The sequence below is a fragment of the Homo sapiens genome, chromosome 4, assembly GCF_000001405.40.
Source record: "Homo sapiens chromosome 4, GRCh38.p14 Primary Assembly".
In the NCBI taxonomy this organism is placed as follows: Eukaryota; Metazoa; Chordata; class Mammalia; order Primates; family Hominidae; genus Homo; species Homo sapiens.
Window position 1 is genome coordinate 175,788,418 of NC_000004.12, and position 27,961 is coordinate 175,816,378.

The window sequence follows — 27,961 nt, forward strand, 5'->3', positions numbered from 1 at the left end:
TCTGTTTTATTAATAGAAATAAAAGTAGAAATATACAGACTACTGATTTTTTTTAAATAACAGTTTTGAATCCCAATACTTGAAAAGCTTTAATCAAAGCAATCAAAGCATCATACAGATGCAAATACAACACAGACAAAACCCTTATCCCCAAACCTAGAAAATTTAATGTAAGAGACAGTTATAAACTAAACTGAAACTAGATTTTATTACTGTTAATTATTTGCATAGCAGAAAATGAAAATTTTACAGAATCATGCATCTATAGTGTTACAGGGGAATTTCAGAAGTGGATTTTGTTTCGGAAGTAAATTTTAAAATACCAGCCAATGATGGGCAAATACTTAAACCTATCCACCCTTTAATAGTTCTTAATGAACAAATCAGACATATAAATAGAATGAAGACATTAATAAGGCTATCTAAAAATTTAAGCAAACAAAAACTGGTTCATAATGTAATAAATTAGAGCCATAGCTCCATACAAGGAATTATGATAAAGAAAGAAAATGAGGAATATGAAAATGAAACACTGCTGGTTTCATTTACACTAAATGAACATCTCCTGGAAGTAGGAAGTTAACGTGTTTTGACCACAGTGTACTTGGTAGTGGGATTAGAAGACACCATGGTGCTGTAAAAAGAGTCTGCATTTGAATGAGGCCAGCAGGGTTTTAGGCCCAGTTCTATCACTAATTAGTTCCTAATCTTACAAAGTTAATTTACTTTTGCAGAACAAAGATGATATTTAATACGTCTTCTTTTTAAAAGTGCTATAATGAATAATGATTTTTAAAATTTATTTCAACAATAGACTTTTGGAATAAATGTGTTCTATTTAAAATATTTATTTTTATAGTTGATATCCATATTCAGCTTCTTGATTAATCAAAACATCCATGTTTGAATTTTAATATCAGCACACTAATAAGAAATAATAAAATTAAAACATGTCCCCTTCATTGATCTCACATGTTGATTGTCTTGGCAACTAAACTCATTGCAGAAGCTGTAAATCCATTATGTTCAATTTATCTTGTTTTTATTATTTTATTATCCTGATAAAAGCAGGCTGACTTTAAAAAATAATACTTCCTAGAAAGTCAATTCCTTCTCCTAGGCTAAATGTCTTCTGAGGTATGAGAAATCAGGGAACATGAATAACAAAAAAAACATGAATTGTGTCCTAGGACATGATAACTTGCTTTAATTTTCTATCTCCAAATTTTGTCTTTATGTTAACAGTTATCTACCGGCCAAAGGAAGGGAGTTAAAATATAGAAGAAAAAAGATATTAGTGAGTGATACCATCAAACCAACTCTCTATTTCTCTCCTTAATGATTTGTCGTTTTACCATCTTCCTGCTCCCTAAATTTGGCTATGGCAGAACTGGCCAGCAAAGGCTGTTCCTGTGTGCCAATGTGCCTTTGTATGCCATCTGCGGATATCATCTGCCAGGCACCTCACAAAATCATTTACAAGGAGAAAGAGCTAAATAGAAATTGCCATTGATAGCAAATATATTTGTTCTGAGTAATATCAGAATTATCTCTAATAACATCCTTAATACTGTAAGGCTGTTTCAACCTTTTCTTATTGAAATACACATCAAATCAAAACCGTATTTCGTAATCATCTAAGTGAATTTTTAAATATCTAGCTTTTTACACATACATTTATCTTGTTAGCACTACATAAATAAATGTGTAATAGCACATTCAAGGCAATTCTTAGAAATTTCTGCCCAATTTGCCATTATCTACACAGTTTTTTATTCCCCATCTAGTTAACAGCTTCTGAGAAGCCCAGGTTCCCAATTTCTGAGCATGTTTAATCGACCACTATGGTTGTCATGCCAACCAACACAGAGAATTCTGAGCTTACATGGGGCATTTCAATACAGTGACCCAATTACTTTCTGTCAACAAATTCACCAGCAAAATAAAGGGGCTAACACATTAATGAGATTTCCTGAGACTGCCCTGTAGAGATGCTTGCAGTAAGATCACCATCAGTTTTTAAAATACTAAAATGCTATTAAGTATCACAAGTATGATTCTTTTTATCCTCTGCCTTAGTTACTGTTATCTTTATGAGTGTATTTTCTATCAAAAATGCCTGAAGTCAATATATTTTAGCTTCTCTTTCACTACAAAATCAAATGACACCGGGGTGTACATGATATAAGGATACCATATTCTCCAAAATGGAAGTCACTCTATCTCAACACGATTTTAATTTTATATTGTACAATGGAAATTTATGAAGGCATAGGGAAAGTTGTATATCCTTTTCGTTATTGTTTTAAAAAGTCTTCATTTGAAAACCAAGAACGGCAAATGCCATGAATTAAAGGACTTTGCAACATGATGAAATTATCTATTCATTGCCTAAAAAATATTTTGTTCGTTCTTTTAGGGAGGAAAAAAAGAGAGCATAAATGTTAGCACTAGGTTGAAACAAATATTTAAACTAATCCTTTAGATATATAACATACAAAATGTTTTAGCTTCACTTGGGTATTTACTATATTTACAATTAAAGTTTGCTTTAATGGGGAGTGGTTGTGTGTATGAGAGAGAGAGAATAAAGAAAAAAAGAAATAATAAATACAATATGAATGTACCTATTTTCTGGCCAATCCTTTTCCTATGTCTTTTGGACTAGAGTTCCATTTTTTTCACAATTTATAATCATGTTATGCATAGGCTCTATCTATTAGGTAAAATAAAATTGATTCTCAGATGAGTTTATTTAATAAATAAATCAGATGGCAGATGGGCTTTATTAAAACAAGTAGAGATAAATAAAATGTATAGATAGAAAAGATATTCTTGTTCTAGCAAGATGACAAGAATTTAATAATGTTTTTACATTACTCTTGAAGATATCAGTTTTAAGAAATGCATCTAAAATTAGTAGAAGCATAGACATGGAACTCTAGCACCACTCCTTAGCATTGCAAATAGGAAAATTAAGGTCTCAGAGGTTAAGTGACTTGCCATATGCCACCCAGTCAACTGGTGGCAGTCACACAATTTGGAGCTTGCTTCATTATTTGACATTAATTTGTAGACTGTTGGATGTATTGTTATAAATGTCCCTATATGTAAAGTAAGAGCAATTTATAAAAGGTTAAATTTGCATATTTAAAATTGAACTCAGAAATTGACTGCAGTCATCATCTTCATCCACATAACAGAGAAGAGATTCAATTTTCTCTTACTTAATAGATGGAGACTACTAACAAAATGATTGTATCAGAATGAAAGCACTCATCTAAAACATACAGAAGCAATATTTATTACAAAATAGAGACATTCATATTTTACCCATTTATTCACACACACACGCACACACAGACACACACTTTTCTGTAACATGAGCAAACTAGTTTCCAAATATTTTGTGGCTTTTATGCCTTCTGAAAATTGACATATTGTCCTTCTACACTCCCAGAAATACTTCCATTTATTAAAATATTTATGGGGAGCCTATTTTTTAAATCAAATTGATGCTTTGATACCACAACCTGTGGTCATATTTAGTTATTAATCATATAACCTGAGCAGTCCTCATAAGCCCTAAACAGTCATCAGTAAAATTAGCATTGACATAAAAGAATTTATAAAGCTACAAATAAATGATTGTATTTGTTTACAGTATAACAGTTATTGACTCTGGTTTAAGTAATTTGATCTCATTATAAAAATATATTTCAGTCTCTTTAATTTCCAACTCATATGTGCTAAAAAATTTTAAGCTCATATGTTTAATCCCTCTGTTTACTGCTAGTAACATATCGTGTTTATTTCTTCTGGTTATGCATTGGATTGAAACTGCCATGCCAATAAAAAGTTAAGTCAAATGTGTAGAAAGTATTAAGCTCACAGCATGGGTTATACCATTTTTATTTTATTCTAAAGTTTTACAGTGGATATTTGGTGTCTACTCTTCCAAGTACTTTTAAAAGTAAAAAATAAAACTAGAAAATAATTAAATGAAGAAAATAGCCAAAAAGAAGAGGCAACCCTATATTTTTTTTACTGCCCTGGTAATACATTTATTTTTAATGGACTTGGGAAATGCATGCTTTCTTGTAAAGATACTCTATAAAATTGAGAATGGCGTTATTTTTCAAAATAACAACTAAGTTTACTTAGAATACATCCACTGATAATTATAATTGATGAATATTAGTAAAATTTGAGATGTTAAATTCCATTTTGCTTAATAAGTTTATATTTTAAAATACAATGTAAAACTCTTTATTTTGGAATTTAACTTATAATTCTTTGACATCTGATCAGAAAGTTTATTTGCCAATTTCCAAGGAAATATTGAAATTAAAGACAGAAATACATATGGGATTCTCATGTTATTGTATTCATAATGCTTTTACTTTTAAATATTTATATTAAGAAACCTTTCAAACATAAAACAAATAATATAACAAGCAATGATAAAGTTGACAATGTGGCCGACCATGGTGACGCATGCCTGTAATCCCAGCACTTTAGGAGGCTGAGGCGGGCAGATCACTTAAGGCCAGGAGTTTCAGACCACCCTGGCCAACATGGTGAAACCCCATTTCTATAAACAATACAAAAATCAGCCAGGCATGGTGGTCTGTGCTTGTGGTCCCAGGTTTTTCATTTACCATTGTATCTTAAAAAGTTATCCATGCTAATACATTCTTTAGCTAGTACAGATGAGCCTACTATTATGGACTATATTATGTATTTTTGATAGAACTCCTCCAAAAAATTAATAATAACTGCCCTTCTGAAAGATGTTCTATGGCTTCATACAATATGAATGCTCTTACTCTGAGCTATCCAGGACCCTGTTGGTGGAGGTTGCCTGGATACCCACCGTCCCTACCTCACAGCAATTAAGAACATTCTGGAATAGTCTGTAAGAGATCCATGTATTCTATTCTATTCTATTTATTTATTTATTTATTTATTTATTTAGAGATGGTGTTTCGCTCTGTCCCTCAGGCTGGAGTGCAGTGGCGCGATCTCGGCTCACTGCAACCTCTGCCTCCCAGGTTCAAGTGATTCTCCTGCCTCGGCCTCCTGAGTAGCTGGGAATATAGGCATGCACCACCACAACCAGCTAATTTTGTATTTCTATTAGAGAAAGGGTTTCGCTATGTTGGCCAGGCTGGTCTCAAACTCCTGACCTCAGTTGATTCGCCTGCCTCGGCCTCCCAAATTGCTGGGATTACAAGTGTGAACCACTGTACCCGGCCAAGATCCATGAATTCTTCTGCACATCAGACACTACTTATACTTTTTACTTGGATCATCTGATGTCTTGACTTCCAGAAATGCATTTCCCATTGTTTATGATAATAGGAGTTCTTTTCCTCTTTAAACTCTGGTAAGCTGCCAAAATTCTTCCTGGTATTTAGAGGGAAAATATTTTAAAATACTTTTTTATGATATTGTCAATTCTGATCCTCTTGGTTCACAAATATAATTTCATCCATTTATCCTAATTAGTCTTTTGACTTTTAGTCTTTGCTCATTTTACTTTTTAACCTTTGTCAATTTATGTCATCTTGATTTGGATTCATTTTACTTTTTAACCTTTGTCAATTTATGTCATCTTGATTTGGATGCATCTTTGGAAACCATTTTCCTTCTAGAGTAATACAGAGTATCTGGATCTACATTGACAGGCCTAAGAAGCAACTTCACCACTTACTGCTGAGTGACCTTGGAAAAATTATCAAAAATCTCTGGGTCTTAGCATCTTCATCCATAAAATAAGAGTAATAAAAGTATCTTATTTGTATAGTTATTGTGAGGATTATGCAAATTAATAAATATAATGCACTTGAAACAGTGCTTAGCAAATGATGTTATCTCAACAAGTGTTAAATATTCATATAATTTCTTTAGATTTACACATGTGAGTCCTTAATAGAAACCATAATCAAATGTTTACTTGTTCATAGCCCTTCTTTGGATCTTCTGTAGTTTAAATATTTCCTTTCAAAGATACAGTGCAATTACACACAATAACTTAAACAAGGAATTGTTTATTCACTCAGTATTTATTGTCAATCATTATACTATTCTGTTCACAACTTTGAATTCAAGATTAATATTGCTCGGAAGTTATTCTAAAAGCATAGCATAGAAATAGAAAAAATGAAGCTGATAATTCAAGGAGCTGCATGTCATTATAGAAATGTACTGGAACCTGGGGAATTGCATGACTTATGATGAATATGGAAGCCTGGAAAAAGCTTCCTAATGAAGCACTGATTGAGGCATGGTCGGTAAGAAAGAAGATGGAAAATAAATCAGGGTGGGCCTGTACACATCACGTGAGGGCATGCTGAGAGACTATTTCAATGCTGAATGATAAGATTGGGTAGTAGGCCTAGAAACTTTGCTTTGGGCCATATTATAAGGGCTTGATATGCCAAAATAAAGCTAATGGATTTAATTTTATAGGCAGTAGAAACAATGGAAGCCTTTACGCAACAGAATCCATGAATATATTTTGTTTGAGAGAAATTATTCTAATTAAAGCGAATAGAAATTGGATGAAGAGAAGCATAATAAAGACAACCTCAATAGCTTAAGGAAATAGTCGATTACATTACTGAGTACCTGAAGATGAGAATCTGGAATTAGGAGACATTTCTGAAGTGAAAGCATTTGATAACCCATTAAATATAGAGGAAAGTGTGAAAGGCATTAGTAATGACCTGTAAACTTCTAGCTTGGGACACAGTGTACATAAATGATGACAGATGTGATGGAAGTCAAGAACCAAGGATGTAGAGTTGATTCAACAGTCAGTTGATAAATTCCATTTTGGACATATTGCATTTGAGGTACCTATGGCTATCTGAGGCAGGCAGCCTCTTCGAAGGCACTCAATAATCCCTTCCGAGTAGCATTCATGTCTTTCTGAAATCTGCTCCACCTGAGTAAGGGCTGCACTTTTTGACTTGCTTCTAATGAATAGAATATGGCAGAAGCAAGGAAATGTTCCTTCCAAGATTACATTATAAAAGCACTGTGGGCTGGGCATGGTGGTTCATGCCTATAATCTCAACATTTTCGGTGGCCAAGGAGGGAGGATTGCTTGAGACCAGGAGTTTGAGAACAGTCTGCACAACATACTGAGACCCTATCTCTACAAAAACTTTTTAAAAGTTAGCTGGGCATGGTGGGACACACCTGTGGTCCCAGCTGGGAGGAGGCAGAGGTGGGAGGATCACTTGAGCCCAGGAGTTTGAGGCTGCAGTGAGTCATAATCATTACTTTACTCCAGCTTGAGTGACAGAGCAAGACCCTGTCTCAAAATAAAATGAAATATGATAAAATAAAATAAGTAAAAGTACCGTGGCTTCCAACTTACATGGAATCTCTCTCCCCATCTACCTTAGATCCTTTGCTCTGGAGAAGCCAGGCACCATGGCATGAGGCAGCCCTGTGGAGAGGTTCATGTGGTACAGGACCAGGCCTGCAGCATCACTTGAGTGAGCCACTAAGCAGATTACTCCCCCCACCCCAACTGAACCTTCATATGAGACTGCAGCTGTAACTAACAGCTTAATTGCAATCTTGTCACTTTCTAACAGGCCACCCTGTTTTTCTCAAACTCTATCACTGATATTTTCTCAAATATCTATTTATCTATGTTTGGATGCTGTTTTAGTTGCTCTCTGTCTCCACCACTTCTACATCAAAAGCTTTATAATGTAGTCTGCCTTGCACAGTGACACTTAGAAGAATGGCTAGCAACTAGTCACTCTAAACTTATTATCTACTTATCTTTTATCAATAAGAGTTATATTTATGTTACATATAATCACAAACATTGGAAGTAAATGGCTTTTAGCATGGACAAGGAGGCGATATAACATGATCAATGAAGATAATAATATAATCTTAAAGATGAATAAAAATCTGTTTTTATCATCTCTAATTTACCAATCAGTGCATTCAATGATTTCTAAATATCTCAACAATTCCAACATATAGATACTTTTCTTCCTACTTGATGGATGAGAAAATTAAGTCTCTTGATCAGAAGTTAAGTCACCTGCCTAAAAACACAACCAGTATATAGCAGAGTTAGAATATACATTTATGTTTGAATGCTTCTGTTTATTTACACTACCTTCCCTCTGGTACTTTAGTGTTTTTCATTATAAGTATGTAAAAGCTAAAATACAAACCACTCACCCTATTTGATTGCATTCACAATACTTTTATGTTGTTTTACCAAATTTGGATTATAATTTAGGAGTGATATTTACATCTGGGAATTCTGGAAGAAGTTGTGAAGTTTAATTCCTATGGGAACTCATTATATATTCATTAGTTCAAAAACAAAGAAGCAAACAGCATGCACCAATGAAGGAGCTTGAAGACTGCCTTTCTCTCAGTGCTACCCCCAGGAATTAAACCTCACAATTTCTTTCCTGTCTAAACATGCTTTTAAAATTGTTCTGACCCAAAACAGTATTTTCAGACGTTTCTGATAAGTCCTGAATTGTTTTTTTTTCTGTGTGTTAATCCTATGCCATTCTTTGTTGTTTTTAGTAAGTACTCAATTCTCTCAGATTACTAAGGATTCTCTTCTCTAAAAAAATACTGGCAAATTTAATATCATATTCCATACCAATGTATGAGAAGCTGCTAGTCATTTTAGTTCTCCTAGATAACTAACACATGTAAAATTGAACCAAATAATGCCAGAAACCAAATACATAATTCAACAGCACATGGTAATAGCTGGGATACTGATAGTTATACTTTTTACTTTCATTTTATTCATTTTATTTGTGGATGAAAGATGCTCTATGATCTTATTCCATCACAATATTGATAACCAACATTTTAACCATTAATATTAAGAGTTAGTGTTCATTGGGGCTTTCATAATCTTGTTCATAAAATTTATTTATTAATGATGTTTGGGTAGGTAGCTGTTGAGATTGACAATAGTATTAATACCAGCAATGATGTGTGATGTGATATCAATGTTTGTATCCCCGCCCTCAAATAATTGAGCTCCCATGTATATGGAATACATGGTAACTGTTTTATTGTTACATGCATTAGCATTTTCAATAACCGTAGGCCATCTCAATCAATTTCCCCCATCATCCCATGATTGCAATTTTCTTCTATGCCTATTGAATAATCCAGATTAAAGACTATATATCATTTAACTCCCAGCCTCAAGTGATCTGCCCACCACATCCTCCCAATCATTTTACAATACTTTTTGAAGTAGTCAAGGGCTTATGTACATGATTGTAGGCTTCGAAGTTCTTTTTATTTTCAAAGGCAAAATTATAGCGGTGTTGTCCAGAACACCCTTAAAGTTCTCATTTTAAATGATTGCAATCTCTGAATATTATTTCCTCTCAAATTTTGGGATTTCAAATCCATAATATCTTTATCTTGATATATAAATTATGAATCACAATTGGGAAAGCTACCAGGGTTTTTAACCAATAATCTACAAGACTCTAAGTGTGGTTCCAGGATCCACAAAAATAGAATTACCTGAGAAAGTGCTAGAAATGCAGATTCCTGGGCCCCACTCCATACTCACCGAATCAGAAACTTGAGTTGGGGAAATGAAGTGCCGTAATCATCAAAAATAGGTGATGCTTGCTAAAGCAAACTAATGTTGAAGAGCTACTCAGAATATGGTACCGCTATACTTGTGTAACTTACAAAGACAAATAAACCTCAAATCACAAACATAACACATTCATTGCAAAGTAAAGTTAATAGTCACTCTTCTAAGTTATTCATTTATAACGATCTAACCCATAATCACCCCACCTTTCACAAAGGTTGCTGTTACATCATTTAATAACTTTTAATGAAGCTGAGTTATTTAAACTTGACGTTAAGATTACCATGTACCCAGATTATCCTAAAAGCACTCAATTCACCTATTTAAGGCTAAGAAAACTCTGTTTATGACACTTACAATTCAGTTATTCAAGACAAATAAATATTTCCTTTACATAATTGCCTCATTTAAAGAGCAAAACTGAAAAGCTAGGTTACGGAATGAGGAAAATTTGAGACACTTAACTTAGATTTAACAATGAGCAATGTGGTAAATTTATGTTGCATGTCTTGCATATTTACCAGAATCACATTATCAAAAATACACATACAAACTTTGTACTAACTTTCTAATTATTATATTTCTTGGTGGCGGAAGGAGAGGCAACATAACTCTTTTACTGACTATCACAGATAGGTAAGTTTTGAATGTTACCACTGTTCTCAAATATGTCTTTTCTGTTAGTCTCTTAATCCTGAGTCGATTCTTTTTCAGAACAAATGTAACCCACAATTGAAATGTAAAGATATTTATTTCTTAGTGTCCCATTTTCTCCTTAGAATACGGTGGATTACTTCAGGAAAGCAATTTTACCAAGGGAAATGTAAAATGCATTTTTTATATTGCACCAAAAGAGGTATTCAGTTTTTGTCTGCCATGTCCTCTGCTGTATTGCACATGAAAGCAAAAGGAAGGCAATTGGAAATCCTTGCCAGAGGCTAGTTATGAGCAATGAGTTCAAAGATTTCAGTGGCTTGATACGTAGTGCTTAAAATATACGAGTCTACCCTCTCCTTTCCTTTTTTCCTTTTTTCATTTTGCAAAATGGGAAACAACATTGTTCTTTCCCAACGTGGCTTTAAATAGCTCTTCCAATCTTGTTTTCCTGCCCCAGGATGTCTTAGGCAGCACTCACAATCTCCCTTTGCTCATCTGTCTTAGGGAGCTCCAGTCAGCTGCCTTTCCTAGAGTATCACAGGCATCAACCCTTTCTATAATATACATCATTTCCTTTTTGGCCAAAAAATACATGCAGTTCTTTAATTTTTGACTCTGGACCACTCATTTTGACTCACTGTGGGGCAGTAGCATTCAATGACCTCTTCCAAAACGAGAGGCACTGAGCTCATAGTTTTTAATGTTCCCCTCTCACACTAAGAACTGCTTGAATCTAAGTATCTAGGAATCTAAGAGTCAATTGAAGAACAGTTTTGCTAACTTAACTTATAAGAATAGAGATTGATATTAGTGCAAGAAAGTGAAAGCATATGAGGCACGGAAGTAGTATTGCTATTTTTATGTACAAAAGTAAAAATGGAAATATTGGAGTCAAGGAGAAGACTGAGGTATAACAGACAACTCCAAATGACTACATTTGTCACCCTAAAAGTAGCAAGTGTTTTCTTTTTTTTTTTTTTGAGACGGAGTCTCGCTCTGTCGCCCAGGCCGGACTGCGGACTGCAGTGGCGCAATCTCGGCTCACTGCAAGCTCCGCCTCCCGGGTTCACGCCATTCTCCTGCCTCAGCCTCCCCAGTAGCTGGGACTACAGGCGCCCGCCACCGCGCCCGGCTAATTTTTTGTATTTTTAGTAGAGACGGGGTTTCACCTTGTTAGCCGCAAGTGTTTTCAAAAACAAACAGAATATCCTTGAGCAAGAGGCTTAATATAAAACACTATTGATAAGGATACAATTCAGATATTTTTTGAAGTTTATCTCTTTTTTCATTCAACTTGTGGACCCTTAAATGGGATTTTTAATACTGAATTATAAAGATGTTTCAAAATTGTAATTTCAAATAGAATGATCCTGAGAGTACAATATTTTTAAAAAGTATATGGATTCCAAAGTGGTTAGGAAGTCAATAAATAATTCCAATAACTGTATAATTTGTGGTTGAGGGCTTAATGTTGTGGTTGAGGGCTAAACTGAAGAGCAATCTTATTTAAGAATGTGCAAAGTAAAAATAAATAGCTTAAAAGAATATACAAAATATAAAAAACCCAAAATTATATAGCATATACCCAAATCTAGGTAGAGGTATAGATTGTTTTACTTAATCAATGTATGCTAACCCTGTGTATATAAGTCCATTTTAGATAATATCAATATCATTTTAATTTCACTGAATGCAAATTATCCAAGCCAAAGAAAAGACCCTCCAACCTCTAGGCCAAATCTTGTCTAAAACAACTTAATCTGTCCTATAGTAAGATCGGGCGCATCAAATTCTTTCCCAGCCATCCCCACTTGTTTCCCATACCAACACTTAATAAATAATAGCTAAAATTATATACCTACATAATACTGCATTATTGTCCACTCTGAGGCCTAAATCATGGCTTCATCATATTTCTAAAACACAGATCATAAAACCCATTCAATGAAGGCTTCTGTTTCTTGCAAAATAAAACTTCAAAATTACCAGAGAGGTAATAATGGTCAGGTTAATGCCTGGGTTACATTCAATACTGAAATGGTATATAACTCTTTTTCCCTTAAGGACCACAAAACAGCCTTGTAAACTCATCCTAGAGGATCTAAAAGAGAACCCCCTCATAACAGAATGGCATTCCCAGCTTGCAGGCTCTGAGACTCCATTGAGTCATGCCACATGTATGGAAAATGATTTTTGGAGTGTTATTCTATCTAAGGAAAAACAAAGCAAATTTTCCACTTTCAAGATTAAAGGACATTCTGTCTACATTAAGACAAGCAGGGTAAGTCTTAAACACTTGTTAATCTTAGCACTATGTTTAACAAGCCTCCCAAGTATTGAACTCAAGAAACCTAAGAAATGAGATCAATGTTAGCTTTTTCATGAAATTTAAATGTGTCAAACAATAAAGTCTTCAAATAGTTTGCCATTTTTTGCTAACAGGGAAAATTAAGCAGTGAATTAATGACCTCACAAGGATTTTGGAGAATGCTGGGTAAGTTTACTACACTCCACATAAGTATAATATGCAGATCCTAATTATTTCACATCATATATTTCTATTTTGTACATTGAAATCAGGATCACGTTAAAAACTTTTATAAATGTAGCACATTAATATTATAGGTATGTTAATATTATAGGTATTAATTAATAGGTAATAATATAGGTATATTGAATAGCCATTTTGTAGATAAAAAGTGTTTAATATTGGTAATTTGACGTGGTTCAAACTAATATATCTATAATATAGACAAATAAGTAATAGACCACTCAGTAGACTTTAAGAAATAAATCTATTAATACCTAAAGGCTGAAGCAAAATACATTTGTCAGTTAATAGGAGAGAATTTTCCAGGAATTTGTTAGAGATGGAATGAAATGACCAGTGGATATGATACATTTTTTAAAAATTGAGCGTGTCAGATAAATAAATACACTATGTTTTTTAATACTTTAAAGACTATGGAATGCCTGGGGGGACACAGGCATGGGTAATACAGTTGCCTGAAAAGACCTCATCATCATTAGGTTACAGTGGTGTTGCTTTTGCATTACTGCAGAATTTAAAAGAAGATAGAGTAGCAGAGTTAAGGCCAAATATTGCAATGATTATATAACTGTAAGTATGACACAAAGTTTCCTTCCAATTTAGCAGAAACAATGGGCAAAAATATTTTTGATATTTATGTAAAATAGTGGTCGCTCTTGATACACAGATGATATGAAAGAACCACATGTATCATAAATCAGTAGCTCCTTTTAGACCTTTGGTAAGCATACTACACTCCGTATAAGTATAATGAGCAGATCCCAATCATTTGGAGGGGGTTCAAAGTTGCTAAACAGTGTTGTAGAGATCAATCATGGAAATACATGCTTGCTGTCTCTTTGTGAATTAAATTTTCGTGCAGTGTTGCAAAAAAAAGTTACTATGTAAAAGTAACACATAAATAAATAAGCTTATCTTTCTTCAAGATTATACTTTTCAGCCTGGCTATACAACTGGCCTATAAAACATGAAGTTATTTCAGTTGTTTAACAAGAATTCATTCTCAATTCCACCAAATAATGGTATCACAAGTTCATCTCAAAACACAAATTAGTGATTAATACATCAAAAAACTTAGTACACCAAAATTGTAGAGAGAATATGATGAGCATTGAAAGGTTAGATGGAAATACTCTTCCGATACCATTGACCAGAGCTCAAATGCCCTGTTTTCAGATACTGTCTTGATCCCATCTAAAATATAAGCCAATTGTGTGAGACTATATACCAATTAAAATACAAAAACTAAAATAAAGCGTAAAAGAAGGCAAAAGAAAATTGATTACTCATTGCATGCTATTTTTTAAATTCATTACCTTGAACATTACTAAACATATCCTAGAAAAGGTCTTATCTTATTAAACTGTCCTCAATGATTTCAAACTGTTATTTCTTATGTAATTTTGTTTTCTTTGATCAATACTTATGAATGAACACAGTAAGCCTAGTGTCAGCAAATTTGTAAACTACTTTGTTAAATTTTAACAGCGTATTATAAAATATTATGACATAATTTTCCAAGTTTCAGTAACCATTTGCTGAATCTGACAGTTTAATGTATTTGACTTCATTGCCAGAATCACAATGCTAAAAATATGTGTGGGCTCTTTAATAATAAAAAAAGAAAATCTATTCATTTTCAAGAAAGCTGCTACCAAACTACTGAATATATTTCAGGTCAAAGAATAAAAGAATTATTTTTAATTCAAATCTAATGACATAAAATGGAGTCCTTGCTGCATTCTCCCAAGCCAGGTTTAGCTGCTCTGTTAGATCTGTCTCTATTTAGGGGAAAAATTGTGTTTTATTCTTTCTTTAGTCTGCACAATTGACCTCTTCTTCTTCCTCTTTATCCTCTTCTTTTTCTTCCCCTCCCCTCTTCCTTCTCTTTCTCCTCCTGTTCTCGTTTCATCATCATCATCATCATCATCATCATCATCATCATCATCAGCTATGAATGGGTTTGTATTCAGAGCACTTTGCAGGTTGGGTTCATGAACAAACGATAAAAACTTTACCCTTCAGGAATTTGTACTTTGAGAATGGAGCTACAGCATAACACATACATAAGAAAAAACAGTAAGATATGCCATATAGTAAGTGACAAACATTTAAGAAATAACTGTTACAACAATTCGAAAAAGTTATTAGTCCTTTAATTCTGACTCTCTGACTCAAGGAAAATTGCTTGGTCACCTTTTTAAATGGGCACAGTGTGTTAAGATGAGAGGAAAGGAAACATGGAGAAGGAATCTGCATTTACTCAACTCCTAGTATGTTCCAGGAATTGTAATAGGCGCTTTTACCTAGTCTTTATTACATCTAACTCACATTAAACAGACCTAAACCCAAAGATAATGGTAGAGAAAATTAATTCTCAAAATGGAGATTTTGAAAAAAATATGGTTGAATAACACAGATTAAGTTACAGAGAAAATGAAGGTGGAGAAAAGGAGCCAGGGCTTTAACACAGGTCATCTGATTGGGAAACCAAAAGTCAATTGGCCACTCATTATGATGGTCAATTGAAAAACTCCTGGCCCTTATACATATTTAAAATTCATGGAGACAATCTGAGTGGGTGGTTTCTGAATTCTAGATCTTATGACTCAATTACAACTTTCTACTGTGAAAGGTTGAGCAGAGATTTAAAATGCTTTAAGTTCAATTATTCTGACTAATATTCAAAGCATTCTTTTCACTGTAAAATGGTTTTTTTTTTTAACTTGATGAAAAACTAAAATAACGTCTCTGAGACAATAAACCACTAAATGAATCTGGCTTTGGTAATACATTGGTACTATTTAAAACAGAGATTCTCAAAGCCTATGGTTGGTTTTAAATTGACAAACCACATTCAGTGTCATATCTAAGAGTTCCATTGTTCAAACATTGCTCAATCCTTATTTTAATAATGAATTCTATTATTGAATATTGAAATATTGAAAGGTGTTTGAAGAAAAATAAATATAATTCCTTACTGCCACTCAAATGTACAGTCTGTGGTTCCAAAAATTTGAATTTAAATGCCCTTATTGTGGGAAAAATAAATTTTTAACTAGAAAAATGGAGAAATCATTTGGCTCATTCTCCCTTCTGCCCACCTCATAATCTTTCTTGGAACTGAAATGGAAGACTACCTCATTTTGTTACATGACAATTCTTTTTTTCTCTGGATGTTTGTGTGAGGTTTTCTCTTAGTTTCCTGTAGAGTTTGAACCCAATGGCCCTTGACTAAATAGTGTGACCGTAAAGTCAAAGAACATTTGATATTTATTAAAAAGCTGTAATCAATATTTATTAACTAGTGTTAAGATATATTGACATTAGACACTGCATATGAAATGCTTAGAACAGTGCCTGGATTATTAAATATTAGCTATTATTATTAATATTTTCCTTGACAAATAAATCATGCTAGTAAAAGTACTTAATTATGTTTCTGATGTTCAATAACGAAACTGAACAGAAAAACTGATATGGTATAGGCTGTTAAAAATGAAAGTGGGCCGGGCTCGGTGGCTCACGCCTGTAATCCCAGCACTTTGGGAGGCAGAGGCGGGCGGATCACGAGGTCAGGAGATCGAGACCATCCTGGCTAACACAGTGAAATGCTGTCTCTACTAAAAACACAAAAAATTAGCTGGGTGTGGTGGCGGGCGCCTGTAGTCCCAGCTATTCGGGAGGCTGAGGCAGGAGAATGGCGTGAACCTGGGAGGTCGAGCTTGCAGTGAGCCAAGATAGCCCACTGCACTCCAGCCTGGGCGATGAGCGAGACTCCATCTCAAAAAAACAAAAACAAAACAAAACAAAAACAAAATGAAAGTGGATATCCACCAACACAGGAAATGTGTAGAAGAATCTCAAAAAATTTTTTTTTCAAAAAAAAAAGCTGTCAAGTTTTGGGGGGAAGGTAATTTGGCCGTGTACTAGTTCTTTATTTGAATTATTAACTAAACTTTGTTGCATAAAACAACAATCGGAATAAATACAGGTGTAAAGTTTTTCTCCCATATTTTATTTTTGTTAAGAAAGAATAGGTAATTCACCATTCAAATAACCTTTCTAATGGGGAATATTAATTGCAACCATAAAAATGTAGAAAATAGTTTCCCAGACATTGAAAGTTCTATTATAAATCAATGAAGAATGCTAATTAGCAAAATACTTTAATTGCCTCACTTTTACTTGATAACCAAGAAAAAGCATGACCATCCCCTTTTAGGAGACAATATGAACAATCTCTTTTATGTTTCTAGCATCATTCTCAGGGATAGATTTCATCCAATTCCTCTCTTTGATGGAGGTAAGTAAAGTAAAACTCATCATTTCTCATATGATAAAAATTTAAGTCCAAAAACATTAAACAATTGAAACAATGTAAGAAAGTGTCTTTCTTTCTTTGGGAAATCAATCTGGATATATACAGCAGTTAATGTTCTAACATGTTGACATCTCTTAATACACATCATTTAAAAGCCGACAGTCATTCTTCCTTTTTTCTCTGACCTCAGATTTCCTCATATTATAACTTAATTCCCTAGTAAACTCTATAAACAGACTCCAATAAGGAACTGAGTCTCATCTTTGACCAAAGTTATATTTCCCACTCACAATTTGAAAAAAAAATCAGTTATCTTCTGTTTTTCTTTCTTTATGTTGTTCACAGTACAAAGAAGTAAGTTACTGTTGGATTAAGAATATCCAAGACAATGGTCACAACTTGAAAGCACATGGAAAAACATGAATTATTTTTATAATGTCAGCTAATCCACAGCTGTGCCACCTGTTAGTATGGATGCTATCCAAAAGGATTTTTGAAAGTAAGCCAGGCAGTCTGCCTTCGATGTATGAAAAAGAAAACTGTCAAACATTTTGAATGGTGGGGAGGGGTTTTTGCTTGGGGGAAAATGGAGTTCGCAATGGACAAACTAGAAGTTATCTCCTGTATCCTATGAATCTCTCATGAGCCATTGTCTTCTGATGAATTAAGGAATAATTAATTTCTAAAAATCATGTCTTAGAAGCCATCACTCCAAGGACACTATCAATATCTATCTATCTATCACGCTGTACTTCTCATTTAGTCTCTTTAAATATTTAAACTTTAATTCAAGGAATTAATGAAGTAACTATATCAAGCACTTTCATTTGAAAAGGTGAATTCACTCATTTTAATGACATTGTGAAAAATCTATTCATATCCTTCATCTGAACAAGATGTTAGAAATGTGTTATTGATATTTTGGATCTCTGAGATAAACAGTACCACAGACACTAAAAGAAACCATAATTAGCAACTGATCCAAGGAAAATATAAAATGACAAAATTCTAAAATGTTATATCTAAACCACAGCAGACATAATAACCACAACAATGCAGAAGTTCTACGAATATCTATTGAACTTTATTAAAAATATAACTAATTTTCCCTACTGACAGATGTTGTAGAACTACATTTGAAAATACCAAGCGGTAAAAGTAATTTCTTACGCCCAGGAGGACACTTCAGGTTAAGCACAATGCTAGTAAAAGCACAGCTGTGAAATCTTAGGAGAGATTTTTCCTATATGCTTTATAAAATCTGATTCTCTATGTTTCTTTTAGCCTTGTTATCCAAATGCAGAAATGGCAGCTGAAGAGATGATTTGTGACAGCATTTGCTGAGACGAAGTCTGTCCACTAGATGGATAAAATCAGTTCCCTTTTCATAGGTCTGTGAGTAGCCAACAGCTAAGAAGCAAATTATTAATTCTTACACTTAAATGACTGCTTAAAGATTTTTGATGTTGTTTTTGTTATTTTCTTAGCCACTAGTCTACAGACTTCAATGACATATTAAGGATTATAAATCTATTAATAAACCAGACACATTCTGTCTCTTTAATTTCTTTGCAATAGTTCTCCAAATATTATACTACCAATACTTACTGGTAGGCAATGATTTAGGGACGAATTTATTTAAATTGTAAAAAATCAAAGATCAGTGAGGGAAAAAAATCAAAATCATCAAGAATACACTAAAGAAAGACTGGTGTCAAAGTTGAAATTTAATACATTAAATATACAGTTGATTCAGCTTCGACTCACCAGGTTAAACTCAGGGAAAATTTCTTAGCAGTAAGCCTCTTTATGTAAGACTCCTAAAAGGATCTGAAGATTTGTTTTACTTAGAGGTCTTTCGATTGCAAAGAATAGAGATTCACCCAGAGTAGCTGAAAGATGGGGCAGCATAGTTATTATTAAAATTTGCCGTGGGATAAAGAGATCCTCAGAGCATACTGAGAGTCATCTTTTCCCCGTTCTCAAGAAAGAAGGCCAATTGAACCAATTCATCTTTTTGGATTCAATTCACGACTTACAAGTCGTAGATTGCTAGTGCACTTACAGATTGGCTGCCCTTGAAAAAGTTTTCATATCTGGCAAAGAAAAGAAGCCAGAGTTGGTGGTAAGGAACACAACCATAAATTGCAGATCATAGCTGATGACTGCAATGGAAGCATGTGGGGGAGGCAGTCCTTCGAAGGAGTGTGGCTGCCAGGCAGGCAGCTATGGCCATCTAGTGTAGAGAGTGGGGTTGAAAGTTCAGAACCTGGACTCATTCTGATTGCATTGAGCCCAGCTCTACTATTTACTACGATGTGACTTTGGTCTAGTCAATTAATCTATTTGGTATTTATTTTCCTCAACATTAGTACCACTTAAGGTTATTGTGAAGAGCCAATGAGTTCATTTAGGTAAAGTCCTTAGGCCAGTGTCTGGAACTGAAATCACCAGGCAGTATAGGTTGGCCAATATTTCCTAGTCTCCTACAGCCAAAGCTGCCTCTTTTTTTCGTTGATTATAGTGGTGTCTCTTCTTCAGGGATGATGTCTGCTTAAGGAAAGGTGAGGTTCTAGAGTCATCTTTCAAGATAAAAATAATCTTACACACACAAAAAATGTCTGAAGAGACTTTTAGTCAGCCTATAAGCTGTACTGTATATTAAATATACTTTATATTAAGTACAATATACAGTATATCCTTGTGTGCATAGATTCCTTTATAGTAATATGTGTGTATAAATGTATAAAGTATATGATGAAGGGGTCTCTTGTCAACAATAATTGTACAGTATTTTAAATAATGAGATAGATCAACATTAACATTGATATGAAAAACAAAGAAAATAAACCTGTACCCTCTCCTTTCATTTATGTATTCTTGTTGGTTTTAATAAATTAAAGATACGCTGAAATGACAAATAGGTTAGTGCTATTGAGCTAAGGATGAACAATGACCATTGAACTTTGGCTGTATATTGCTGTTTGAAATGATGGAACTGGTCATTTGATCACATTCAGCTTGATCATCTACATCTGCTAGTGACCCAGTCCCTGAGAGTCACCAAGAATTGATTCCACTGAGGCGATGGCAGGCGGGGCTTTGGTGTTGGAAAAGTCAGTGGTTGATATGGACAGCACAGACTCACATAAGCTGCTGGTTTATTACACTAGAAAAATAAGGTGAGTGACACTGTGGCTGTTATCTTTTGTGCTGATCAAAACTTTCTGGTATACTCCATGTAATTTTGAGACCTGTTTCATAAAATGTTCATGTTCAGAAATTAAAGCCATCAGGGTTTTGGCTGTTTGGAACAGTTCAGCCAATTTATGAAGACTCCAACCTGCTGGCTCTTTCTGTCCCTTGCTGTTTTCTTTTTATCTCTATACAGTTTTGTTGCTCCCTTTACTTATTGATTCATCAGCCTTCCTCTGTAAAGCCCTCCTAATTCAGCAAGGCCTTCATTAGGGCTGTCCATGAAGAGATGGTCACCCACTTGTCTGGCCACCCGAATGTGTATTCACCAATTCACTCCTAATTAGAAACCCAAAAATCATTTACGTATTTTCTCGTAAGATTTGGCAAAATGTTCTAGAAACAGTTGCATGGCTACAAGTCATAAACGCCTACCTGTTAAATCTTCATCAAAATATCTTTATTCACTTTGCTCAACCCCTCTGTAGTAACTGGGGTCCTTGTTGCCATGATTTTGTGACAATGGCTCTTGATTTTGGTGACAGATGATGCTAGGTTTATTATGGCCATAGTAAAGACCAAATTCAAAACACTCTTTTCTTTTTTTCCTTTTTTTTTTTCTATACTAGAATATCATTGTTTTGGCTGCACACAAGATGAAGTAAGTGGCTTTCATTTAGAGGCCATGTTTTACCAAAAAATATGTTTCTTAAAATACTAGATTCCCCTCAGCATAATGAGATACTCACTTTTGGGGAGGGTGTCAGAAATTGCTGGAGCAACAGATTAATGATCCCCATTTCAGTTTCACATCAGGCATGGGCTCATTGAACACAATGGCTGGTGGGTGAAGTCACCCATACTGTTAAATTATCCTCTCTCTCTGACTGAACACATATGCTTAAATTAGGATAAAAGTTAGGACTATTCTCAATTGTCTTTTAAAGCTTGAGAGGGGAGTGGGCTCTCACTATGAAGAAAAATATATTTCTTAAGACGGATGATCTTTTTAAATGCTTAAACACCAAGTATATATATTTTCGAACATAGCAAATTGCAATTAATTAATGAATCCACTGAATTTTACCTTCTAGTTGAATTTGCAAGGTCATATGAGTAAACACTGATGTGAATTTTAAGTCTTGGTGACATGTAACAGGAAAGACAAGGTCTAAATTTTAAGAAAAGACTGAAAAGCCACTTACTTCTTGCAAATGGAAGAAAACTCTGTGCTATTTGAATTATTGTTTAAGAAAATCCTATGCAGTTTAAGAAAAACAGGATAAGAACTAACACAAAATGCTGCTTTTCTTTAGACAGATCATTAAGTCTCTCCACCTAAACTCTTGAAAAATCTGTAACGATTTTGTCTGCTTGTCAAATTGCTCCTCCAGTAATTTCACAGTTACAACCCACGCACATATCGACAGAGCATTTCGATTCAAATGTAACTTTCTAACAACAAACTTATATAGAAAAGGTGTCATAGGCGTAATTGAGAGGAACAGAAGATCAAGAGTGAAGAAAATTACATCTTCTTTTCTCAATTAAGAAAAAAACCTAAATCATAAATATTGTATTCATATACATTTACAAACTGATAGACCACTAAACGTTTTTTCTGATTTAAAACTGCTTTCCACCACTGCTGCTGGTGCATATATTAATGAGGAAAAACCCACTGTGACAGAAATCTTCCCCTCACGGCATAGCCACCTCCACCCCCATAAAAGAAAGCTTTTCAGTGTTACCTGAGAAAAAAACATCACAACTAATTACATCATTTTTCTTGGTTCCCGCATCTACCAAGGCTTGCTCAGACACATTCAACCTGTTACCACAATCCATGATTTAACTCAAGGTTTTATTTAGTGTAATGAATATCATTCCTCTATTTAAAATGCTGTTTATCTTTCCTTAAGCAAATTGATCGGCCAATAAGTATCATTATTAGGTATTACAAAAAAGATGTTGTCATAAGGTAATTTATTCTAAGTTAAAATAGTCCACTGAGATGTCTTGTAAGAACAGAAATTACCATTAAAATGTCCCATTTACAATCACTGATGAAAACTTGGGCTATTTGTGCATATAATAAAGGGAGCTGAGGTTTTTTAATTTAAAAATAGATCACATGCTATTAATGTAGATTTTTGTGTTTCTATTACAGATTATCATGAATAAGGGTACTAAGGACTAAAATTGGGAAATCAACTTATCTATTATCTCTTGCTTATATAAAACCTTCATGTATTTAATATCGATGGTCCTTTATTACGTGTGTGTGTGTGTGTGTATGCACCATATATGCCTCAAAGTATGTGTGTGTACATTAAGAGAAGAAACCCAGCATAGCTAAATGGCTAAAAATATGGTAACTATACTGTGCTTCCACCCTATATATTTTATCACATAAAATACAGTTTTTTACGATAAGTGCCTTTATATACATTTGAAATTAACTTTGACAGCTGAATCTTTTTCAACACTACTCTTGAATATTACCTTTATGTAGTATTACCTGTGTTACTGCTTCAGTACTAAGAAAATGAGACCATTTTCTCTGACATTACATAAGCCCGACAGCAGACGAGAGAAACGCTGCCTATCTGGGGTGAAAGCTAGCTCCCTCTGAAGCTACCATTTGACACGTTAAAACAATTCTCGAGTTGATTGAATCATTCCAAATTACCAATATTTGACCATTTCAACCTTCAAAAATGGAAATTTCACTTTAACTCATACAGCCAGATATACCTAGACAAGCTTTAAAAACACATAAAAAAATTTCCTTTAACATTATTACTCAGAAGTTGATTACAGTCAACTATATAGAAAGGAAAATCTTAACGCTTCCATACACCCTGAAAATTTATGAACTTTTGCTCCATCTGCTTAAACCTATATTGCATCCTCGTTTTTAGTTTTTATTTTTTAAAGATTGTTTTAAAAAGGTGCACCAATCAAAAGATAATTAATGGTCTTGGTCTTTGTTCTATCAGATGTCCATGCAAAGATATGGATAATGGTTCCATCACCAAATTTTTAACTAACTCCAAATATTGTATTTGTGGCTCACACTAGGGATCCCTTGACCCAGCTCGGCAAGTGTGAAATCACGAAATAAATGAAGGTTAACAAAGACTGGTCTAAGGAATAGTTCACTACAATACCGCAATGCTCTTCTCACTAATACTCGACTCTGCATTTCGGTACTTATATCTGAAAGATTTGCAAATAATGACAACATTCGTGCCAGACATTACTGCAAGTGAGGAACAGACTAAAGGAGAGGAAGGAACAAAATGCCTTCCAAGAGAGAAACATTCATTAGCCTTACTGGCAAGTGTCTAAAGCAAACAAGGAAACTGCAAAATAATTACTTAGTTACAAATAAACGCTTTTAGCACAGTACCTTTTTGTGTCTGTCCCTCTTCCATATTCTCTTCCATGGCTACCTTTCTTCAGTAGAATCTGGTACACGGAATTAATCAAAAGCTCAATTAGATGTTGGAAAAACTGGGGGTTTTTTTTTTTTTTTTTTTTTTTTTTTTTTTTTTTTTTTCCTGGGAAGCTCCAACAGCAGTGGCTTGGGCAAGTCCTCAGAGCTTAGCTCAGGCTCCCTCGTTCCTCTTGTTTGCTTGGAGACAGGCTGTCAAGTGTAATTTCATTCAAATTACTCTTCCGTGAAGATTATCAATTTTTCTTCTCAAAGCTGCCCATTGTGTACCACTGTAAGCAGGTATTCAAACAAATAGCCTGAGAATTTTGGGGGGAAATTTGGTCTGAATCCCAGGAGCAGAGACACTATGATTCACAAGTCTTGCTTTGCATTTAAAATGGGGAAAAGAAATTGAGGTTTGTATTGAAATCTGGGCTTTAAATTGGAAACAGGCTGAGCTGTGAACAGATGGAGGGGTGTCCTCCTAACATGAAGCCGACCACCAACCCGTAATTCCCCCCTTCATTCCAGAGTGGGAAAGCCCAGATTCCCGTCGGTTCTTTATGCTGCAGCAGTGGCTTCTCACCCAGTCAGATACGTTGCAAAAAAACTGTGTTTTCCTTTTCTCTCCTCACTAAGTATTTAGTTAATTTGATTTAAGGTGCCAAGAAAGGATGCAGTTATACCATCTCAGGGTTTATCTGCAAAAGTTTATTACTAAGACAGGACTTGTAATCCCACACCTTTGAGATTTAAAAAGAAATAGAAGCGTGGCTGTCAAAGGAGTGAGTATAAAGCTCTAAGCCTGAGAGATACATGTTTTAAGTAATTATTTTACTTAGTGCCATATGACTCTTAAGTAAAAGGGAGAAAACCACTGGAAGGAAAAACCCTATTGATGTCTTTGTTATTTATTGTTATGATTATAGCCCACGAAAGCTGCTGGTTTCCAATGAGAATCTCTTGAAAGGGAATTTCTTTAAAGGTCAGTGTTAGGGAATGAGAAGAGTGATGTAAGGGAGGAACAAATTTTAGATAAGAAACAAGAGGATAGCAATTTATAATGGGAATCTGCAAGCTGATTTGGAATGCAAATCACAATGCTGCAGTCTGGCGATAATTAGCATTTGTACTTCAGCCTACTGAGTGACAGGGCACAGTCCAAGAGTCTCAATACTTCACAAAAGGTATAGCAAGAAAATAAACAGTATCTCTTTCAAGGAGCATAAACCTTTCCTAGAGTAGAAAGAAAGGATCCTTGCCTCTGTCTTCATCTCCAAATCAGCCAGCACACACACACACAGGGACAGAAACACACACAGAGGGACAGAAAGACACACACAAGCACACACACGGAGAGGCACACACACACACAAGGACACACACACAGACATAACTGTAACTCTCTGCCTTTAATGAAAAATAGCTCACATCCTCATTATCCATAGCATACGTTTCTTGCATTATAGCTTGTATTTCACATGCATTCTTTAAAGCAGGCCAGTAGCATGCTGCACATCACCCTCTAAATATTACAAAAGCAGCTATTTAGAGGAAACACAATTACTGCATTCCACTTTATTTCTCATAAATGAATGTTTAGTCCTCTTACTTGTATAATCATTTGTTATTATTTTCTCTTTTCAAATGAATTTTGTCCAAAAATAACTGGAGTTCAAATAACTCAAAACCTATCTCTTTGGAATATATATCAATGTGTATTCAAGGGTTTTTGAGAGAGCTGCTTGCTCAGTGCACAGATTGAGAGAGAGAAACCATAAGGGAAATCAAAAAGCCAAATTGTAGCAGCCTCTCTGCTTCAACTCATCCCTAGGCTGACATAACCTGGCATATAATCAACACAGAACGGAGCAACGCTCCTCATTTAGATCCTTCATTCGTTTTATACCATGGAAATCATTAGTGAAAGCAATTGTTTATTGTAGTGCCAGTAGATACAATAATGTCACCTTAAATTTTTAGAACACTTTACAATCTATAAAACATGATTACATACATTAACCCGTTGTAAGTCAAATGGGAAAAGCATAATTTTCCCCACTTTATGATGAAAACAAAAAACAAAAAACACGGATGCTCAGGGACACCTAGAGACTGGGCTAATAAATCACCAAGTAAGTCTTAGAACCCATGTCTGTTGATTTCTTGCCTAATGTTCTGATCTTAGAAGCTAATTTTCCTTCCTACTCTGTTCCTTTATGAGTATCTTCAGCATCTTCAGAAATCAGCCTCAGTTCATAGCTTTCTTTTTCACCACACATATAAAGCAAAAGAGGGAAATGAGAGGGAAAGGAAATTTTAAAAATATTCATGATTTCTTTTTCTTCTGGAAATTTTGCAGCAGAATACACTCATATAACCATTCACTTTTTGTCTAAAACAGGCTTTTTCATGTGACAATTGTTACCAACATAAGTCAACATCAACTTGTACCAATTTTTAAAATATACAAAAAAGTCCTCAGAGCCAGTCCAAATGGACTCGTCAAATGAATTAAGAGAGATGCATACACATACATAGCCTCCTCACAGCAATCACCTGTCAGTAGGCTTTCAGTATTTATTGGGGTAAAATATAAAAGAAAAATTTGCCATTTTGATCATTTTTAAATCTGTAGTTCAGTGGCATTAGGTACATTCACATCATTCTGTAACCATGGCCACCAGCTATCTCCAGGACTTTTTCATCTCCACAAACTGAAACTCTGTGCCCATTAAAAACGCACTCCTCCTTTCCCCTTCCTCCTGTTTGATGGCAGTTGAGTTGTTGATGATTTTCTCTTTTTTTTTTGAGATGGAGTCTCGTTCTTTTGCCCAGGCCAGAGTGCAGTGGCATGATCTCAGCTCACTGCAACTTCTGCCTCCAGGGTTTGAGCAATTCTCCTGCCTCAGCCTCCCGAGTAGCTGGGATTTCAGGCATGCACCACCACACCCAGTTAGTTTTTGTATTTTTAGTGGAGACCGGGTTGGTTTCACCATGTTGGCCAGGCTGGTGTCAAATTCCTGACCTCAGGTGATCCACCCACCTCGGCCTCCCAGAGTGCTGGGATTACAGGCGTGAGCCACCAAGCCCAGCCAAGTTGTTGTTGCTAATGGTGGTTTTAAGATTATTTTTTAAAATTTGGATCTCATTGGAAGTAAAAATATTTTGAACCTCCAGTATCTTAAACTAGTTAGAAAAGAAAATCGTTTCACATTATAGTAGATTTGCTTTATTAATTATAAAATATACTATATAAAGCTTAATAACTAGCAATGATGTGTCCTTATGGGGACTGAAATGCCTCATCTAATACTCTTTCCATTGTATCGTATTGTATTTGCCCCATTCTACTCTTAGTCATTTATTTAAAATATATGGGCTGTAGGCAGTGGCTCATGCCTGTAATCAAAACACATTTTGAGGCCAGGAGTTTGAGACCAGCCTAGGCAACATAGACAGTCCTCATCACTACAAATATTTTCTACTCTTTTTCTTTTCTTTTTTTTTTTTTTTTGAGATGGAGTTTTGCTCTTGTTGACCAGGCTGGAGTGCAATGGCATGATCTCAGCTCACTAGAACCTCTGCCTCCCGGATTCAAGCGATTCTCCTGCCTCAGCCTCCCAAGTATCGAGGATTACAGGCATGTGTCACCATGCCCAGTTAATTTTGTATTTTTAGCAGAGACGGGGTTTCTCCATGTTGGTCAGGCTGGTCTCGAACTCCCAACCTCAGGTGATCCGCCTACCTCGGCCTCCCAAAGTGCTGGGATTACAGGCGTGAGCCACCACACCTGGCCATTACAGACACTTTAAAAAAACAAATTATCCAACCATGGTGGTGCACACCTATAGTCCCAGCTACTGGGGAGGCTGAGGCAGGGGAATCACGGGAGCCCGGGAGGTTGAGGCTGCAGTGAGCTATGCTCACATCACCGCACTGCAGCCTGGGCCACAGGGTAGGACCCTGCCTCTAAAAAATAAAATAAAACAAATATAAGTTAACTAGGTGGTTAAAAATATGATTATATTTTTATCAAGTCAGATTTCCCTTTCAAATACTGTCTAAGAAATGTTTATAATGTATATTACTTTTTTCTTATGTGAGCTCACTCAATCCAAAACCATTATAATTCTCTTTCATTTTTCTTAATCTTAATTT

The 27,961-nt window shown here is 34.8% G+C and overlaps 1 protein-coding gene and 1 long non-coding RNA gene across 7 annotated transcripts in view; one reads left to right on the plus strand and one right to left on the minus strand.

The window, feature by feature from the left end:
• The window catches only part of GPM6A (glycoprotein M6A), a 369,457-nt gene that overhangs the window by 155,481 nt on the left and 186,015 nt on the right, over positions 1-27,961 (minus strand). For 2 of the 6 annotated variants that reach the window (NR_048571.2, NM_005277.5), the window contains exon 2: positions 23,774-23,832. The exons of 3 other annotated variants lie outside the window; for them this stretch is intronic. Coding sequence is in view for 2 of the 3 variants with exons in the window: in NM_005277.5 (NP_005268.1) it covers positions 23,774-23,810 (37 nt within the window). In the remaining variant the exon portion in view is untranslated. Of the gene's footprint in view, positions 1-23,773; positions 23,848-27,961 lie in introns of those variants that run through there. One more of the 6 variants, NM_201591.3, reaches the window with a different exon arrangement.
• On the plus strand, positions 1,890-23,772 carry GPM6A-DT (GPM6A divergent transcript). Its single transcript, NR_125901.1, has 8 exons — positions 1,890-2,000; positions 7,419-7,511; positions 10,229-10,267; positions 12,353-12,569; positions 17,509-17,662; positions 18,448-18,554; positions 20,184-20,345; positions 23,443-23,772. It is a non-coding gene; the product is annotated as a GPM6A divergent transcript (long non-coding RNA).